The sequence below is a fragment of the Homo sapiens genome, chromosome 15 (genome assembly GCF_000001405.40).
Source record: "Homo sapiens chromosome 15, GRCh38.p14 Primary Assembly".
NCBI classification, from domain to species: Eukaryota; Metazoa; Chordata; class Mammalia; order Primates; family Hominidae; genus Homo; species Homo sapiens.
This window is the reverse complement of record NC_000015.10, coordinates 30991058-31005806: the sequence shown is the minus strand read 5'-3', so window position 1 is coordinate 31005806 and position 14749 is coordinate 30991058. Positions and strand designations below refer to the sequence as shown.

Sequence of the window (14749 nt, the reverse complement as noted above, 5' to 3'; positions counted from 1 at the left end):
ACCATGGTTAACAAAGGAGATAGATCCTCATTTATTTGTCCTTTATGTTAATCATTTCAGATGTAAGTGAACTTAAACTCATTTTTATCTTTCTTCTTTCATACGTACTATAAAACTCAATGCAACTTCCCATCGTTTGGCATAGCTGTTTAAAATTTGCTGTATCCACGTTGTAGCTGTTCACAAGCTCCAAACAAGCAACTGACAATTTCTCTGAACCCAGGGCACATCATTAAGCATTGTTTCTTCCACAGCTTCAATGAAGGGAGCAGCAGTAGGGATGGGAGATTTGAGACACCAAAAAAGGAGCTTGGTAACTGATTCAATGCAGAGGGGAGGGGAGAGGAGAGAAGTGAGGGGAGGGAGTTAGTATAAGGGAGACCAAAGAATCCAATGACTTTGAGGTTTGTTTTTCATATATGAGTGGCTGAGAGTGCTGTTATCTGAATTAGGTAATAAAGGGGAAAATAGGTAAAACTATAAAAGATTTGAAAGGAAAGATATTCATCTTCATTTCACCAGTGTATTTATTTAGAAAAGTTTGCACAGCGGCAATATCTCTTACTGTATGTTTGTAAAGGAACTCAAGTTTGACTAGGGCAATGTGGGGTTTTTTTTGATACAAAAGGAATAATCAGGGTAATAGAACTGAACGGAGTAGGGAGCCTTTATTTATTTATTTATTTATTTATTTATTTATTTTTTGAGATGGAGTCTCGCTCTGTCATCCAGGCTGGAGTGCAGTGGTGCGATCTCGGCTCACTGCAACCTCCGCCTCCTGGGTGCAAGCAATTCTCGTGCCTCAGCCTCCCAAGTAGCTGGGATTACCGGCACACACCACTGTGCCCAGCTAAGTTTTGTGTTTTCAGTAGAGACAGGGTTTCACCATATTGGCCAGGCTGGTCTTGAACTCCTGGCCTCAGGTGATCCACCCGCCTTGGCCTCCCAAAGTGCTGGGATTACAGGTGTGAGCCACTGCGTGCGGCCAGGAGCCATTATTTTTAATGAAGAACACCAAGTCTTACTCAGAAGTAATGGAAAGTTAATAGTGAAAAATTCTTCTGTTGGTCTCTGAAATGCAAGAGGAGAGAGAACCCTTAGAACCTACAGTGCCTGTGATACAGAGGCTTTAAAAAAAGGAAGCCAGGACTTCTCATGCATGGTGAATTTGGTCCTCCCTGGTGGCAAACGTCCAGGAAGCCAGACCCTTCCTGCTCAAATGATGTGGTTTCCTATAGTACATATAAATAGTTCTCACCCCAAGAAAAGAGTTAAGAATAGAAGCCAAGGAACCACACATACAAACACAGACACATCAGAGCACAGTTGTCAATGTGGTCAACAGAAGAGTGGCATTAGCAAAAAAAAAACTCTGGGAGGTGGGGCAAGGTAGCCACAGAAGCAGCAGGGTGGGGGTGGAGTTCAGGAGATGCAGTCAAGCACAGAGCTGACTTAGCGATGCAAACAGTGGCAGGCAATCTGCTCAGAAGACAAAAGAGCGGGGTGGCTGACCACCGTGAAATGGATGGATAAGAGGAGAGCCAGCAGTACGAGTGAGGACATGTATAAGGATGTGCAGAGAAGGTAGCAAAGACCTTCGTAGGTCATACAGACTGCAATGCAAGCCAAGTCTCCCTATGTTTTTAAGAAAGCTGGGAGAAAATAAAAGAATAATGGAATCAGACCTAAGTGTTTGCCATCACACAGGGATGAACCAGCCAGAACACAGTAGCCAGGACTCCTAGCTCCATCCTGGGGACAAATTCAACTTTTAGAAAGCAATCCTCAATCCTGGGCATACCTTGCCTCTTAGAGTTAAATTCCTATTGAAATAATTCATACTGTATGTAGTAAAATATAAAACAAAGTCTGTACCAGTGGATTTTAGGCCAGGCAACATTATGGTTTCATAGGCTGTTGCCCGATCTTCTAAGAACTGAAAAAAAAAAAACTAATAGCAGGCATTTATAATCTCCCATGCTCTTTTTTGTGTGTAACCTTAAGGAAATACTAATTATTAAATATAAAGAATAATTTAAAGTTTTTGGTATTCTTCAGACAATTAAATCACCTACTATCCTTTAAGCAAACTATCTGATAATCTGAACTTAATTATTAACAGTTTATTTTCTGAATCCCTTGAACCTCAATAAGGATTTTAATTTTATTTATTTTGTTATAACCATTCACTGCTGACAGCCATAGTCAAAGCTCTAAAAACTAAGCACTAGTAGCTTCTGTTATTACTACAGGCAGCATGATGTACCAGCTAAGAGACAGGCACCGGAGTGAGTGCTGGAGCTAGGCTGCGTGTGCTCAAATTCCTGCTCCACTGCTTCCTACCTTTGGGGAAATTACTTATACGCTCCATGACTTAATTTCCTCACCTGTAAAATGGAGATGATAATAATAGACCTACTTCCAAGGACTGTTCTGAAGATTAAATAAGCCTAGGATTGAACCTCAGTAAGTACCTGTTAGTGAGAACATTATGCTCTTAGAACAATGACTGAGCAGTAAGTACTATATGCATTAACTATTTATTTCCATTATTTTCTGGTGGCTCCTCATGGTAATTCGAGTAGTCATGTTAGGGGATTGTGAAGCTTGTAAATATACTCAAACAGTTCCATATGTATTAAAATTCTGAAAAATCACATAGCAATGACATTATCTTTTGATTTTTAATATCCACTTAATCTCAGTTTAATAAATCTATCCCTTTATATTCACCAGAGTTGAAAATATGTCAATGAGGTTGGAAGAAATCAATGAAAGAGAAACTTTTATGAAAACTTCCCTGCAGACTGTTGACCTTCGACTTGCTCAGCTAGAAGAATTATCTAACAGAATGGTGAATGCTCTTGAAAATCTTGCGGGAATCGACAGGTCTGACCTGATCCAGGCACGGTCCCGGGCTTCTTCTGAATGTGAGGCAACGTATCTTCTCCGGCAAAGCAGCATCAATAGCGCTGATGGCTACAGCTTGTATCGATATCATTTTAACGGAGAAGAGTTATTATTTGAGGATACATCTCTCTCCACGTCACCAGGGACAGGAGTCAGGAAAAAAACCTGTTCCTTCCGTATAAAGGAAGAGAAGGACGTGAAAACGCACCTAGTCCCAGAATGTCAGAACAGTCTTCACCTTTCACTGGGCACAAGCACATCAGCAACCCCAGATGGCAGTCACCTTGCAGTAGATGACTTAAAGAACGCTGAAGAGTCAAAATTAGGTCCAGATATTGGGATTTCAAAGGAAGATGATGAAAGACAGACAGACTCTAAAAAAGAAGAAACTATTTCCCCAAGTTTAAATAAAACAGATGTGATACATGGACAGGACAAATCAGATGTTCAAAACACTCAGCTAACAGTGGAAACGACAAATATAGAAGGCACTATTTCCTATCCCCTGGAAGAAACCAAAATTACACGCTATTTCCCCGATGAAACGATCAATGCTTGTAAAACAATGAAGTCCAGAAGCTTCGTCTATTCCCGGGGAAGAAAGCTGGTCGGTGGGGTTAACCAGGATGTAGAGTACAGTTCAATCACGGACCAGCAATTGACGACGGAATGGCAATGCCAAGTTCAAAAGATCACGCGCTCTCATAGCACAGATATTCCTTACATTGTGTCGGAAGCTGCAGTGCAAGCTGAGCATAAAGAGCAGTTTGCAGATATGCAAGATGAACACCATGTCGCTGAAGCAATTCCTCGAATCCCTCGCTTGTCCCTAACCATTACTGACAGAAATGGGATGGAAAACTTACTGTCTGTGAAGCCAGATCAAACTTTGGGATTCCCATCTCTCAGGTCAAAAAGTTTACATGGACATCCTAGGAATGTGAAATCCATTCAGGGAAAGTTAGACAGATCTGGACATGCCAGTAGTGTAAGCAGCTTAGTAATTGTGTCTGGAATGACAGCAGAAGAAAAAAAGGTTAAGAAAGAGAAAGCTTCCACAGAAACTGAATGCTAGTCTGTTTTGTTTCTTTAATTTTTTTTTTTAACAGTCAGAACCACTAATGGGTGTCATCTTGGCCATCTAAACATCATCAATTTCTAAAAACATTTTCCTTAAAAAATTTTGGAAATTCAGACTTGATTTACAATTTAATGCACTAAAAGTAGTATTTTGTTAGCATATGTTAGTAGGCTTAGTTTTTTCAGTTGCAGTAGTATCAAATGAAAGTGATGATACTGTAACGAAGATAAATTGGCTAATCAGTATACAAGATTATACAATCTCTTTATTACTGAGGGCCACCAAATAGCCTAGGAAGTGCCCTCGAGCACTGAAGTCACCATTAGGTCACTTAAGAAGTAAGCAACTAGCTGGGCACAGTGGCTCATGCCTGTAATCCTAGCACTTTGGGAGGCCAAGGCAGAAAGATAGCTTGAGTCCAGGAGTTTGAGACCAGCCTGGGCAACATAGTGATACCCCATCTCTTAAAAAAAAAAAAAAAAGTAAGCAACTGTGTAAGAAAGAGAAACTAAAGAGAAAGCAAACATGAAAAAAGGGAGGGGTGGAAAGAAGAAAAATAAAATTGTGAGGCACAATAAGTGGGAAGGAGCCACAAATATGTTTTTATGGGGTCTTTGTTTTCTGTTTTAATGTTTTATTTTAAACTACACAATGGGAAAAAAAGTACACAATTATATCAAACATCATACTCTAATAATTTAGGGTGACCTAGAGTTTTGTTAATGTGCAAAAATAAAGTATCCAATATGCATTTTCTTCTTGTCATAGAGTCCTTAATAGCAAATACAAATTAGTTGTACCTGTCTATGCAATGCTTTGTACAAAGCTGTAGCTAAAACCTAAAGGATATATGTTCACAAGTCACAGAGACTGCTCTTAGCTGAGAATACCAGGTGTTGTGCTTCACCTCAAAGTTCAAACAAATACCCACAAGAGTAATAGGACCCCCATGCGAGGCTTCCAAGAGGGGCCTCTGTCTAGGAACCCTGAAGGCCACCCCACCATCACCACTCTTAACTATACAAAAAGAAACAGAGGTGGCAGAAAGGGGTCTTCTCCGGCTAGAGCAGAAGTTAGAGTTAGACTCTAGCCCCTCACCATCCCCCAAGAGAACCTCAGGGTACTCAGATCTCAGGAGGTCTCTGATGCACAGAGAGAGGGCCAGCCTCGAGTTACTGGCAGCTGATACATCATGAAGCAAAGTGCCTCATACCCAGAAAGGATCACTGGGTAGAGTAACCAGGAATTGGTGGTGGTAGGGTTGGGAGATGTGTCAGACAGAAATGGGTGATGATCACAAAAAATGAGACCGCCATCCCCATTCTCATCTGAGGTGTAGATTGTAGCACTGCCAGAAACTGGCAAAGGAGTACAGAAAGAGACAGAAAGACAGAAACACACAGAGGGAGACCCAGAAACAGATAGAGGAAGATTGTAGCCTGTTCTACAACAGAGGCTCATTGCAGTTATGCCAAAGGTAGTGATCAGAGGTGACAATACCAAAATGTGATTTTGCATCTTTTTCCTCAAAATACGACTGAGATTGTAATAGTCAGATTAGAACTCTTGAACTGGGCTGAATTTATCAAAAAAGACTGATATACCATTGCCTGGGTTGTGGGGTAGGGCTTTAATATTTCAAAAGTGATAACATTTATTTAACATAAACTATTACTTATTTGCATATTGCTATATTAAGACTATTTAATCTATCCTGCCACATGTGTTTATTTGACTCAATACTTAACCTATTACATTTTATCTCACTCCTAAGTCTTTCCTTTGAGTGTCAAAAAACTTTCGGCCTTTTACCATATCCTAGAAAAGAGATTTCTCAGAATAAGCTGGGGAATCTATAACACCTCAGCAGAGCTGGTCTGCAGAAGATAAAGCCTGTCTTTGGAATTCTCCCCATATCTTCATTACACAGTCTCCCTTTACCAAGGTCCATCCCACCGTGCCTCAGGTGTGGGACTCAAGTTCCATTTCCTTAAGTCTCACTAAGATCTGTGACTCCTGTCTTATGCCAAGGTGTCAGCTGATGTAGGATTTTCTAAGCATGTTTGTCTTACGGATCCAAATGGATGAATTCTAACAGTGTGATTTCAGAACCTGTGACTGGGCTGACTATTCTTGAGACCTTTCTTGTATACCTTAAATCATACCATATAGTTGATTAGTACTTTACCAACCCAGCACAACTCAAATATTGACAGTGTTCTATGTAGGACACAATGCCAGACCGCTTGGTATTACATTATTAATGATTACATTATTATTCCCAATGTCATTACAATTTTGTCTAAATATGGACAACCAAATATTGAGAACTAATACCCAATCTAATCAAATCTAGCAGTATTTAATACATTAAAATAAGAATACTGCATATGGTCAAATCATTTAATATAGAACTATCAGTAAATGAATAAGAATTACATTTCTGTGCTATGTAAAACATAGTAACATAAGAAGGCTTTTATTATTTTATCCCCAAAACTCTGGCATACTCATAAATGAGTTCTAATATATTATTTGGTATAAATTAAGCTTGTTTTGGACTTTGATCAATGGCAATCAAGACTTGAACTATCAAAGGACCTCATAATATGTGGCTCTCTCCTTTAAGGCTGTTTGACTGCTTACATTCTGAATACATATATATGCTTCATCATCATGAGGTTCCTATAGTCTTCCATAGTTTAGGTTTTAAAATCTAAAAATCAAACTGTCAATGTTGTCATATAGTTATTCAACACCAAAAATGCATTTTTGCTAAATATATATTAGAAATAAAGTGAAATGAAATCATCTTACTACCTCCTACACACAAAAAAAGACTTTTAAAGGTTTTATCTTAAGATAAAAATGCAGAAAATCACACAAAATAAATAACTGACTTAATTAATTATTGTAAGCTGAATATCCTTGTAACCACCACTCAGATTAATAGAGTTTTCCAGCTACTCCAAAAGTCTCAGAAGTCCCTATCTCAACCACCTCTGTTCCCTGAAAAGTAACTATATTTTTATAGTAATCCTTTCCTTGCTGTTCCAGTTACTATCACTGTATTATTAATACAAGTGACTCCAAAACTGGGTGGCTTAAAATACCCATTTGATTATGCTCATGGATTCCGTGGGTCAGAAATTCAGACAGGCGCAGCAGGAATGCCCCTGATTTGCAGTGTTTGCCGATTTCCATGGTGTAAGTACTCCTACCATGGCCAACTTCAAGCTACGGCATCACTGAATATGGAGTTAGGAAGACATACTGACAATTGGTTCTTGCAAGCCAGTACAGGCTGGCTATAGCACACTACTGTCTACTCCATGATATTTGGGGCCTCAGCTGGGAAGACTCACTGTCTAGAGGGAATTCAACAGCTGGAGGCTGGGATTATCTAGATATGTCTTTATTCACATGTCTGAAAATGGATAATGGCTCTCAACTGGGATCTCAATCTCAGTATAGAGCACATACACATGCCTCTCCAAGCAGCCTGGGCTTCCTCACAGCATGGCAGCCGCAGAGAAACTGGATTTCCTATATGATGGTTCAGGGCTCCAGACGTGAGTGTCCCATTGAGCAAGGAGGAAATATCCCTTTTTATGGCCAATCCTCAGAAGTCTTGCAGAGTCACTAAGGCCAGCTCGGATTCGAGGGTAGGGGTCATATAGAGGGGAATGTTTAAAAAATTTGCAGATATGTTTTTTGTTTTTTTTTTGAGACGGAGTCTCGTTTTGTCGCCCAGGCTGGAGTGCTGTGGCGCGATCTCCGCTGGCTGCAAGCTCCGCCTTCCGGGTTCACACCATTCTCCTGCCTCAGCCTCCCGAGTAGCTGGGACTACAGGCGCCCGCCACTGCGCCTGGCTAATTTTTTGTATTTTTAGTGGAGACGGGGTTTCATTTCACCGTGGTCTCGATCTCCTGACCTCGTGATCCACCCGCCTCGGCCTCCCAAAGTGCTGGGATTAGAGGCGTGAGCCACCGCGCCCGGCCTGCAGATATGTTTTAAAATCACTATACTTGTATTTCATTATAGTTGTATCACTTGAATGTTCCTTAGCACTATAGTTTAGCCTTACTCTTTTTTATTTGAAGGTCTTTTAAATCTCTTTTAATCTGGTATTACCTTTCTCTCTTTCTCTTCCTTAACAATTTCTTTGTTGAAGAACATGGGCCACTTGTCTTGCAAAGTTTCCCACAGTCTAAACTTTACTTATTGAACGCTCATAGGCAGTTTGACATATTCTGCTGTTTCTGCAGGTTGGCAAGAGGAGTCAGAGGCTTATTCAGGCTTAGGTCTGATCCCTTTGGCAAGACTCCTTAGATGGTGTAGCTTCTTTCTAAGACACAAGGAGGCACATGTGTCTACTTGTCTCTCTTTTTGTGATGTCAGCAACTGTTGATACTCAATGCCTAGATCACTTAATTTATAGAGGGTTGAAAATTGTAATACTCAAATTCTATTATTTATAAAGAGATTATTCTTTTCACCTACTACTTGATTACACAGTGGTATAGTTCATACTACACAGCAGAAATAATGACTGATTGATTTTTCCCAGTTGCCAGTTTTAAAAATAATGAATTGGTTCTCTACCATCCTCCAAAGGATGAAGGTGGTCTACAGGCCAGGCAGAGAGCCCTCACCAGAACCTTTACCTTGCTGGTATCTTGGTCTTACACTTCCCAGCCTCTGGAACTGTGAGAAAGAAATTTCTGTTCTTTAAGCCAGAGTCTGTGTACTTTGTTATAGCAGCATGAGCACACTAATACAACTAGACATCTGGAAAATGTGACATTTCAGTCAATAACAAATCTGGAAATCAGAGTTTTTCCAGGTGACTGATAGTTTAGTTTATTTAAACACCATTATGACTTCATGGATTTAAATATATGTGATGTATTTTAATCCATTGTAATTTTTTGGTTTTTGGGTTTTTCTTTTTTTTTTTTTTGAGCCACAGTCTCACTCTGTTGCCCAGGCTGGAGTGCAATGTCGTGATCTCAGCTCACTCCAACCTCTGCCTCCCAGGTTCGAGTGATTCTCTTGTCTCGGCCTCCAAAGTAGCTGGGATTACAGGCATGTGCCACCACGCCTGGCTAAATTTTTGTATTTTTAGTAGAGACGGGGTTTCTCCATTTTGGCCAGGCTGGTCTCGAACTCCTGACCTCAGATGATCCACCCACCTCGGCCTCCCAAAGTGCTGGGATTACAGGCTTGAGCGCTCGGCCATAATTATTATTCTCTCACATTTTCTTTCCATGAGTACCTTAAATATGTTACTCCATTTTCTTCTGGCATAATGCATTGCTGCCAAAACGTCTGGTAATATCTAATTTCCTTTCATCTGAAAGTCACTTGCTTTTTTTGTCTAAATATCCAAAGAAATTTTCATTGTTGTTTCTTCAAGGCCCAGTAGGTTTAGAAGAATGTGTCTTAGTGCTGGTAAGCCCAGATCAATGTTCTCAGGTGCAATGTGTTCTTTCAATATGCAGTTTCAAATATTTTCTTTTAATTTCAGGTAAGTTTTCTTAAACTACAGTTTGTAGTATTTGTTCTGTTTCCTTATCTCCTCCCTCTTTTTGTTTCCCCCAGGAACTCCTATTATCTATTTGTTAGTTCTCCTTTGCCTGTTTTCAATATCTAGACTTTCTTTCTAATCTGTTTAACTTCCTTCATTGATTTTTGATTTTTTAGAATTTTTCTCCTTTTCATCTTCTCTTAAAGAATAATCAATTGTGTTTATTCATCCTTGGGTTTCTTTTATTCTTAATTTCAGATTCTGATTTCTGATTCTATTTTGAATTTATTCATTTCATTTTGAATGTTTCTAGTTCTGATTTACATAGTTCTTTTCATGTTTCATATCATTTTCTTAGTATCTTTTGGCTCATTGTGAAATAGTGGATGTTAGTTTTTATCTGTTTTGTGGGCATCCTTTCTGGTATGCTTTTATTGTGGATATGAGTGCTATTCTGTTCTTATTGTCTTTCATTACAATAATTTTCTATGTGATTTGACTTCCATACTTTCATGTGATTATTTTTATGTGAAATTGGTTTTCTTGAACTTTTTGAAGGAGGCAGTTTTAAGGATAGTTTTTCTTTTTTCTTTTTTTTTTTTTCTTTTTTTTTTTTTTGTGGTGGAGTCTTGCTCTGTCGCCCAGGCTGGAGTGCAGTGGCACTATCTCGGCTCACTGTAAGCTCCGCCTCCCGGGTTCACGCCATTCTCCTGCCTCAGCCTCCCGAGTAGCTGGGACTACAGGCGCCCACCACCATGCCTGGCTAATTTTTTGTATTTTTAGTAGAGATGGGGATTCACCGTGTTAGCCAGGATGGTCTTGATCTCCTGACTTCGTGATCAGCCTGCCTCGGCCTCCCAAAGTGCTGGGATTACAGGCGTGAGCCACCGTGCCCAGCCTAGTTTTTCTAACTTCATAGAGAACTTCCGTTTTTACTGCTTAGTGTTGTGGGTTTCGTTCTTTTTTATTTGAAAAGTTGGCTTACTTTTGGAGATTTCCTAGTTTTCCATTTTTACCTAGAACTTCTTTTTCCTTTCTCTCTATTGTCTCTATTTAGCTCAATTTTGTTTCCATGCCCAACAGTTTGCCAGCAGTGTAGGTCTCTTTCCTGCAAGGAAGCCTAGTAGATTAGTTTCAAGAGTTCCTGCAGCTACATTACTCCAGCCCCTCCAGACTTTACCAGGAGGCTCGTGCATTCTCACGTTTTTAGAGAAGGCAAATACCCTTTCCTGTTTCTGCTGCTGTTCTCAACTTGACTGGCTGGACCTTCCAGGGAACACTTTGCAGCTATTTTGGGGTTCTCCAGATGCCTCATTGATTCTCTATGCTGATACCACAAGGGTCTTATTACTTATTATTGCCATATTATTGCTATTGGTTTGTTCCCACGCATTTATATTTTTGAGATCAAGGGGATACCATTTCATTTGGATTTGTTATAGATGTTGTCCTTGGGTTTTGGTTTTGCCATATAGTTGCTTTGTCTGTTTTTATGCAGAGATTGAAAAAGTATGCTGCTGTTGTCATCTTTCCACAATTCTCCCTCAAGAAACAGATGTCTTAAATTACTTAGTAGTCATCTTAAAAGACCACATACTCAAGCCATGGCCTCGTTTTGCAAACATTATGTATAACCACTTCTAACTACTTCCCCTGCTACCACCATCACCTTCTCTTATCTGGACTGTTATAACAGGCCCCAACTGGTCTTCCAAAGGCCACCCTGCTGCACACTACAGCAGTCAAAATGATTATTTTAAAACACAAGTCAGATCATAGCACTCTTACCTCAAAACCTTATAAAATCTTCTCAATTTTTGGGGCCTCTGTGATCTGGCCTGTGTTTCCCTCTGCCCTCCTCCCTGACTGCATTAGGCTGCTTTAGCCACACTGGCCTCAAACACCCCTCGAAGGCGCTCACCTCAAGGCATTTGCACAGCTAATCTTCTCTGTCCCAAATGCTTTTCCTCCTCATGTGTACTTGGCCTTTTCCCTTACTCCTTTTGTCTCTGCTCAAATGTCCTATACTCAGAAAGTCCTTCCCTGACCATATCCAACTCCCCACTGAAAAATGGAACCACCTTTCTCTCACTATGTTTTATTTTTCTTCACAGCACTCATTACCACCTGACATGCTATATATTAATTTTTTATCTTTCTACCGAGAATGAAAATGCCATGAAAGTAGAAACTTTGTCTTAGTGTCCGGAATAGTGCTTGGCACAATGTTAGTACTCAATACAAATTCATGAGTTCACTGAATGAGTGCTGAATGAATATATAAAGTTCCTAGCACCTGATCAGTATTCAAGAAATGTTAGCTTTATTTTTTCTTGATAGGGAAAAGGAAGTGATCTTTAGAGAATGCTACCATTCCCAATGATAGAAGATCCAATAATGGAAACAGAGGTGTAGTCAGAAAAATGGGTGATGGGAGGCCGAGTCCAGCAGTTCACCTGAGGTAAGGAGTTTGAGACCAGCCTGGCCAACATGGTGAAACCCCGTCTCTACTAAAAAAACGCAAAAATTAGCCAGGCGTGGTGGTGGACACCTGTAATCGCAGCTACTTGGGAGGCTGAGGCAGGAGACTCACTTGAACCCGGGAGGCGGAGGTTGCAATGAGCCGTGATTGCGCCACTGCAGTCCAGCCTGGGTGACAGAGCAAGACTCCGCCTCAAAAAAACCAAAACAAAACAAACAACAAACAAAAACAGAAAAATGGGTGAAGCAGGACAAAACAGTGACATTAGAGCCAAAAGCAGGGGGTAGGCAATAACACCAAACATACAGCGTAGTCAAGGGCATCAGGGTCTGAGAAGAGGTTATAAAACTAGTTCTACGGACTGAATTGTGTTCCTCCAAAATGCTAATGTTGAAACCCTAACCCCTGGTATGGCTACATTTGGAGATTTTAGGAGGTAATTAAAGTTAAATAAGGTAGTAAGAGTGGGGCTCTAATCTGATAGGATTAGCGTCCTTACAAGAAGAGACATCAAGAGATCCCAGAGAGCATGTTATATACCCTCCCCGCACTGTGTGAGGACATGGTGAGATGGCAGCCATCTGCAAATCCGGCAGAGAGCCCTCACCTGTCTGCCTGCCACAAGTTAGGCAGATCCCTACCTTGCCAACACCTGGATCTTGGACTTCCTATACTCCAGAATTGTGAGAAATTAATGTCTGCTCTTTAAGCCATCAACCTGTGGTATTTTGTTATGGCAGCCTGAGCAGACTAATACAACCAGATATCTGGGAAATGCCATAAAATTTAGTGTTAAGACAATAATAAATCTGGAAATAGAGTTTTTCCACTTTTCAGTTGTATGGTCACATATTAGAATTGCAGATCCTAAGAAAACCTGTACAGAAAAACCCAAATCACAGAGTCATTTAAGTGTAAAGAAAAAGCCAATTATTGCTTAAAGAGTATTTGTAGAAAATATCCGTTGAATATAGAGGAATAACAGCATATTCATAAAAATTTTTTAAAAAGTGTGCACGACAGTGATTTTAACACTTCTAATCCAATGGAACTAACATTTTAAAGTACAATTATGGCCAGGCACGGTGCCTCATGCCCATAGTCCCGGCTACTTGAGAGGCTAAGGCACGTGGATCACTTGAGCCCAGGAGGTGGAGGCAGCAGTGAGCCCTGATCATGCCACTGCACTTCAGCCCAGGTGATGGTGTGAGACCCTGACTCTAAAAAATACAATTATGGTTACGGTTCTTGGGCAGAGTGGAATTCAAACAGGTTAACCTGAAAGATCAGTAGGGTTCTAAATCCAGGATAAATTATTTTCAGAAAAAGAATAACTTTTTGAATCTTTATTTAAATTGTTAAATGTTCCTGTGAGTAACACTCATCAGCGTGATTGTGACTGGTATGGCTGCATGGAAGCTTCCCTGTGGCATTAATCATAAAATGCTGGATTGGGGTTTGATTCTTCAAGGTATAAGAAGGACCTAGTCTCAAGTAATAGATTCACCAAAATGTAACACCACTAGCCCCCTCCCACCAAAATCTGCTCCAGTCAGAATTACCGTAAGAGCTCAGAAGTGACCTGTGCTTGGCGGCACCGGCCCACTTTCCCAGTGCCGGTTCCTCGCATCCTGGGCGCAGACGGGGTGACCGCCTGACCCCTGGACCCGAGTCACCTTTCCCTGCCCTGAGCTCCTCCTTGAGAGCTTCAAAACAATGCTCGCCCAGGCCGGAGGGCGAAGTCGGCCCATGTGTAAGTCAAGGGAACTGTCCCAGGACTGCAGCCCGGCCAGAAGACGCCCCGCGCCGCCGTCCCAGGCAGCCACCGCTGCCGCCGTGGCCCCCGCAGGCCGCCGTAGGCCCCCGCGGGCCGCCTGACCCCTGCGGGCCGCCGTAGAAGGACCCTCCAGAGGCCGCGCTCTTGAGATGGCCGTCGGGCTCCGCTCCCCGCGGCGCCCCGGCTGAGGGCCCGCCAGCGGGCACCTGGCGCCACCGCTGCGTTCCGGCACTAGCACGGGACACGGTCAGGGAGCGGCGGGCCGCGGCCTTGCGCGCGCCGTCTCTCGGGGCGGGGCACCGGGCCCCTTCCGGGGATGGGCCCCGGCGCCCGCGTCGGCCTGGCTGTGCCCGGCCCCTCCCCGCTCGGGCGGGCGCTGCGCCGTATCCCCGCCCGTCAGTCCGCCCGGCTCGGCTGGCCGCAGAAAGGGCCTGGGCGGCCGCACTGAGAGCTTTACGCCCGGAGGCGTCGGCGCTGCCACTGGCCCGCGACGGGAACGGGGCGAAAAGGCGGCGGCACCATGTTCTCCCTCAAGCCGCCCAAACCCACCTTCAGGTCCTACCTCCTGCCACCGCCCCAGGTAAACAACCCCTCCCCGCGAGCGCCCGACTCTCCTCTGCGCTTCCGTGGAGCCTCCAGGCCGACCCCCGGGAACTGGAGGACCCCAGGAGGCTGCGCGCGTCTCCCTGCCCACAGCAGCGCGGCTGCCTGATTCCCGGCGCCGCGAAATGCGCCTTCTCGGGAGCCCCCACTGGCTCGGCGAAAACTTGTAAAACTCTTCTGCAGCCATTCTCTGCCCGAAGTTCTGTCGTCCGTAGTTTTGCGGAGTGTTGAGGCCCAGGGGAGCCTTGGGAGCTGGGGTTTTCTTTAGTTTCCAACCCATCGACCCTCCCTCGTATGACCGCCAGCATGATTGCAGCGCTTGGGGTCACTGGTCGAGGCGGTTACCCGTCTGTCATAAATGTGAAC

The 14749-nt window shown here is 42.7% G+C and overlaps 2 protein-coding genes across 9 annotated transcripts in view, besides 2 other annotated features; both read left to right on the top strand.

The window, feature by feature from the left end:
- TRPM1 (transient receptor potential cation channel subfamily M member 1) overlaps positions 1 to 4742 on the top strand; it is a 160096-nt gene extending 155354 nt beyond the window's left edge. For all 3 annotated transcript variants that reach the window (NM_001252020.2, NM_002420.6, NM_001252024.2), the window contains one exon: positions 2737 to 4742. In NM_001252020.2, the coding sequence (NP_001238949.1) occupies positions 2737 to 3985 (1249 nt within the window). In that variant the 3' untranslated portion in view covers positions 3986 to 4742. The remainder of the gene's footprint in view (positions 1 to 2736) is intronic.
- Positions 13560 to 14081: an enhancer, noted in NCBI's record as "H3K27ac hESC enhancer chr15:31283929-31284450 (GRCh37/hg19 assembly coordinates)". NCBI's record gives its function as "activates a minimal SCP1, AML or CMV promoter by ChIP-STARR-seq in primed H9 embryonic stem cells {active_cell/tissue: H9 hESC(primed)}" and the evidence as "EXISTENCE:reporter gene assay evidence [ECO:0000049][PMID:30033119]".
- Positions 14082 to 14604: an enhancer, noted in NCBI's record as "H3K27ac hESC enhancer chr15:31283406-31283928 (GRCh37/hg19 assembly coordinates)". NCBI's record gives its function as "activates a minimal SCP1, AML or CMV promoter by ChIP-STARR-seq in naive H9 embryonic stem cells {active_cell/tissue: H9 hESC(naive)}" and the evidence as "EXISTENCE:reporter gene assay evidence [ECO:0000049][PMID:30033119]".
- Positions 14179 to 14749, top strand: part of MTMR10 (myotubularin related protein 10) — a 72913-nt gene continuing 72342 nt past the window's right edge. For all 6 annotated transcript variants that reach the window (XM_011521737.4, XM_047432771.1, XM_047432770.1 and 3 more), the window contains exon 1: positions 14179 to 14360. In XM_011521737.4, the coding sequence (XP_011520039.1) occupies positions 14301 to 14360 (60 nt within the window). In that variant the 5' untranslated portion in view covers positions 14179 to 14300. The remainder of the gene's footprint in view (positions 14361 to 14749) is intronic.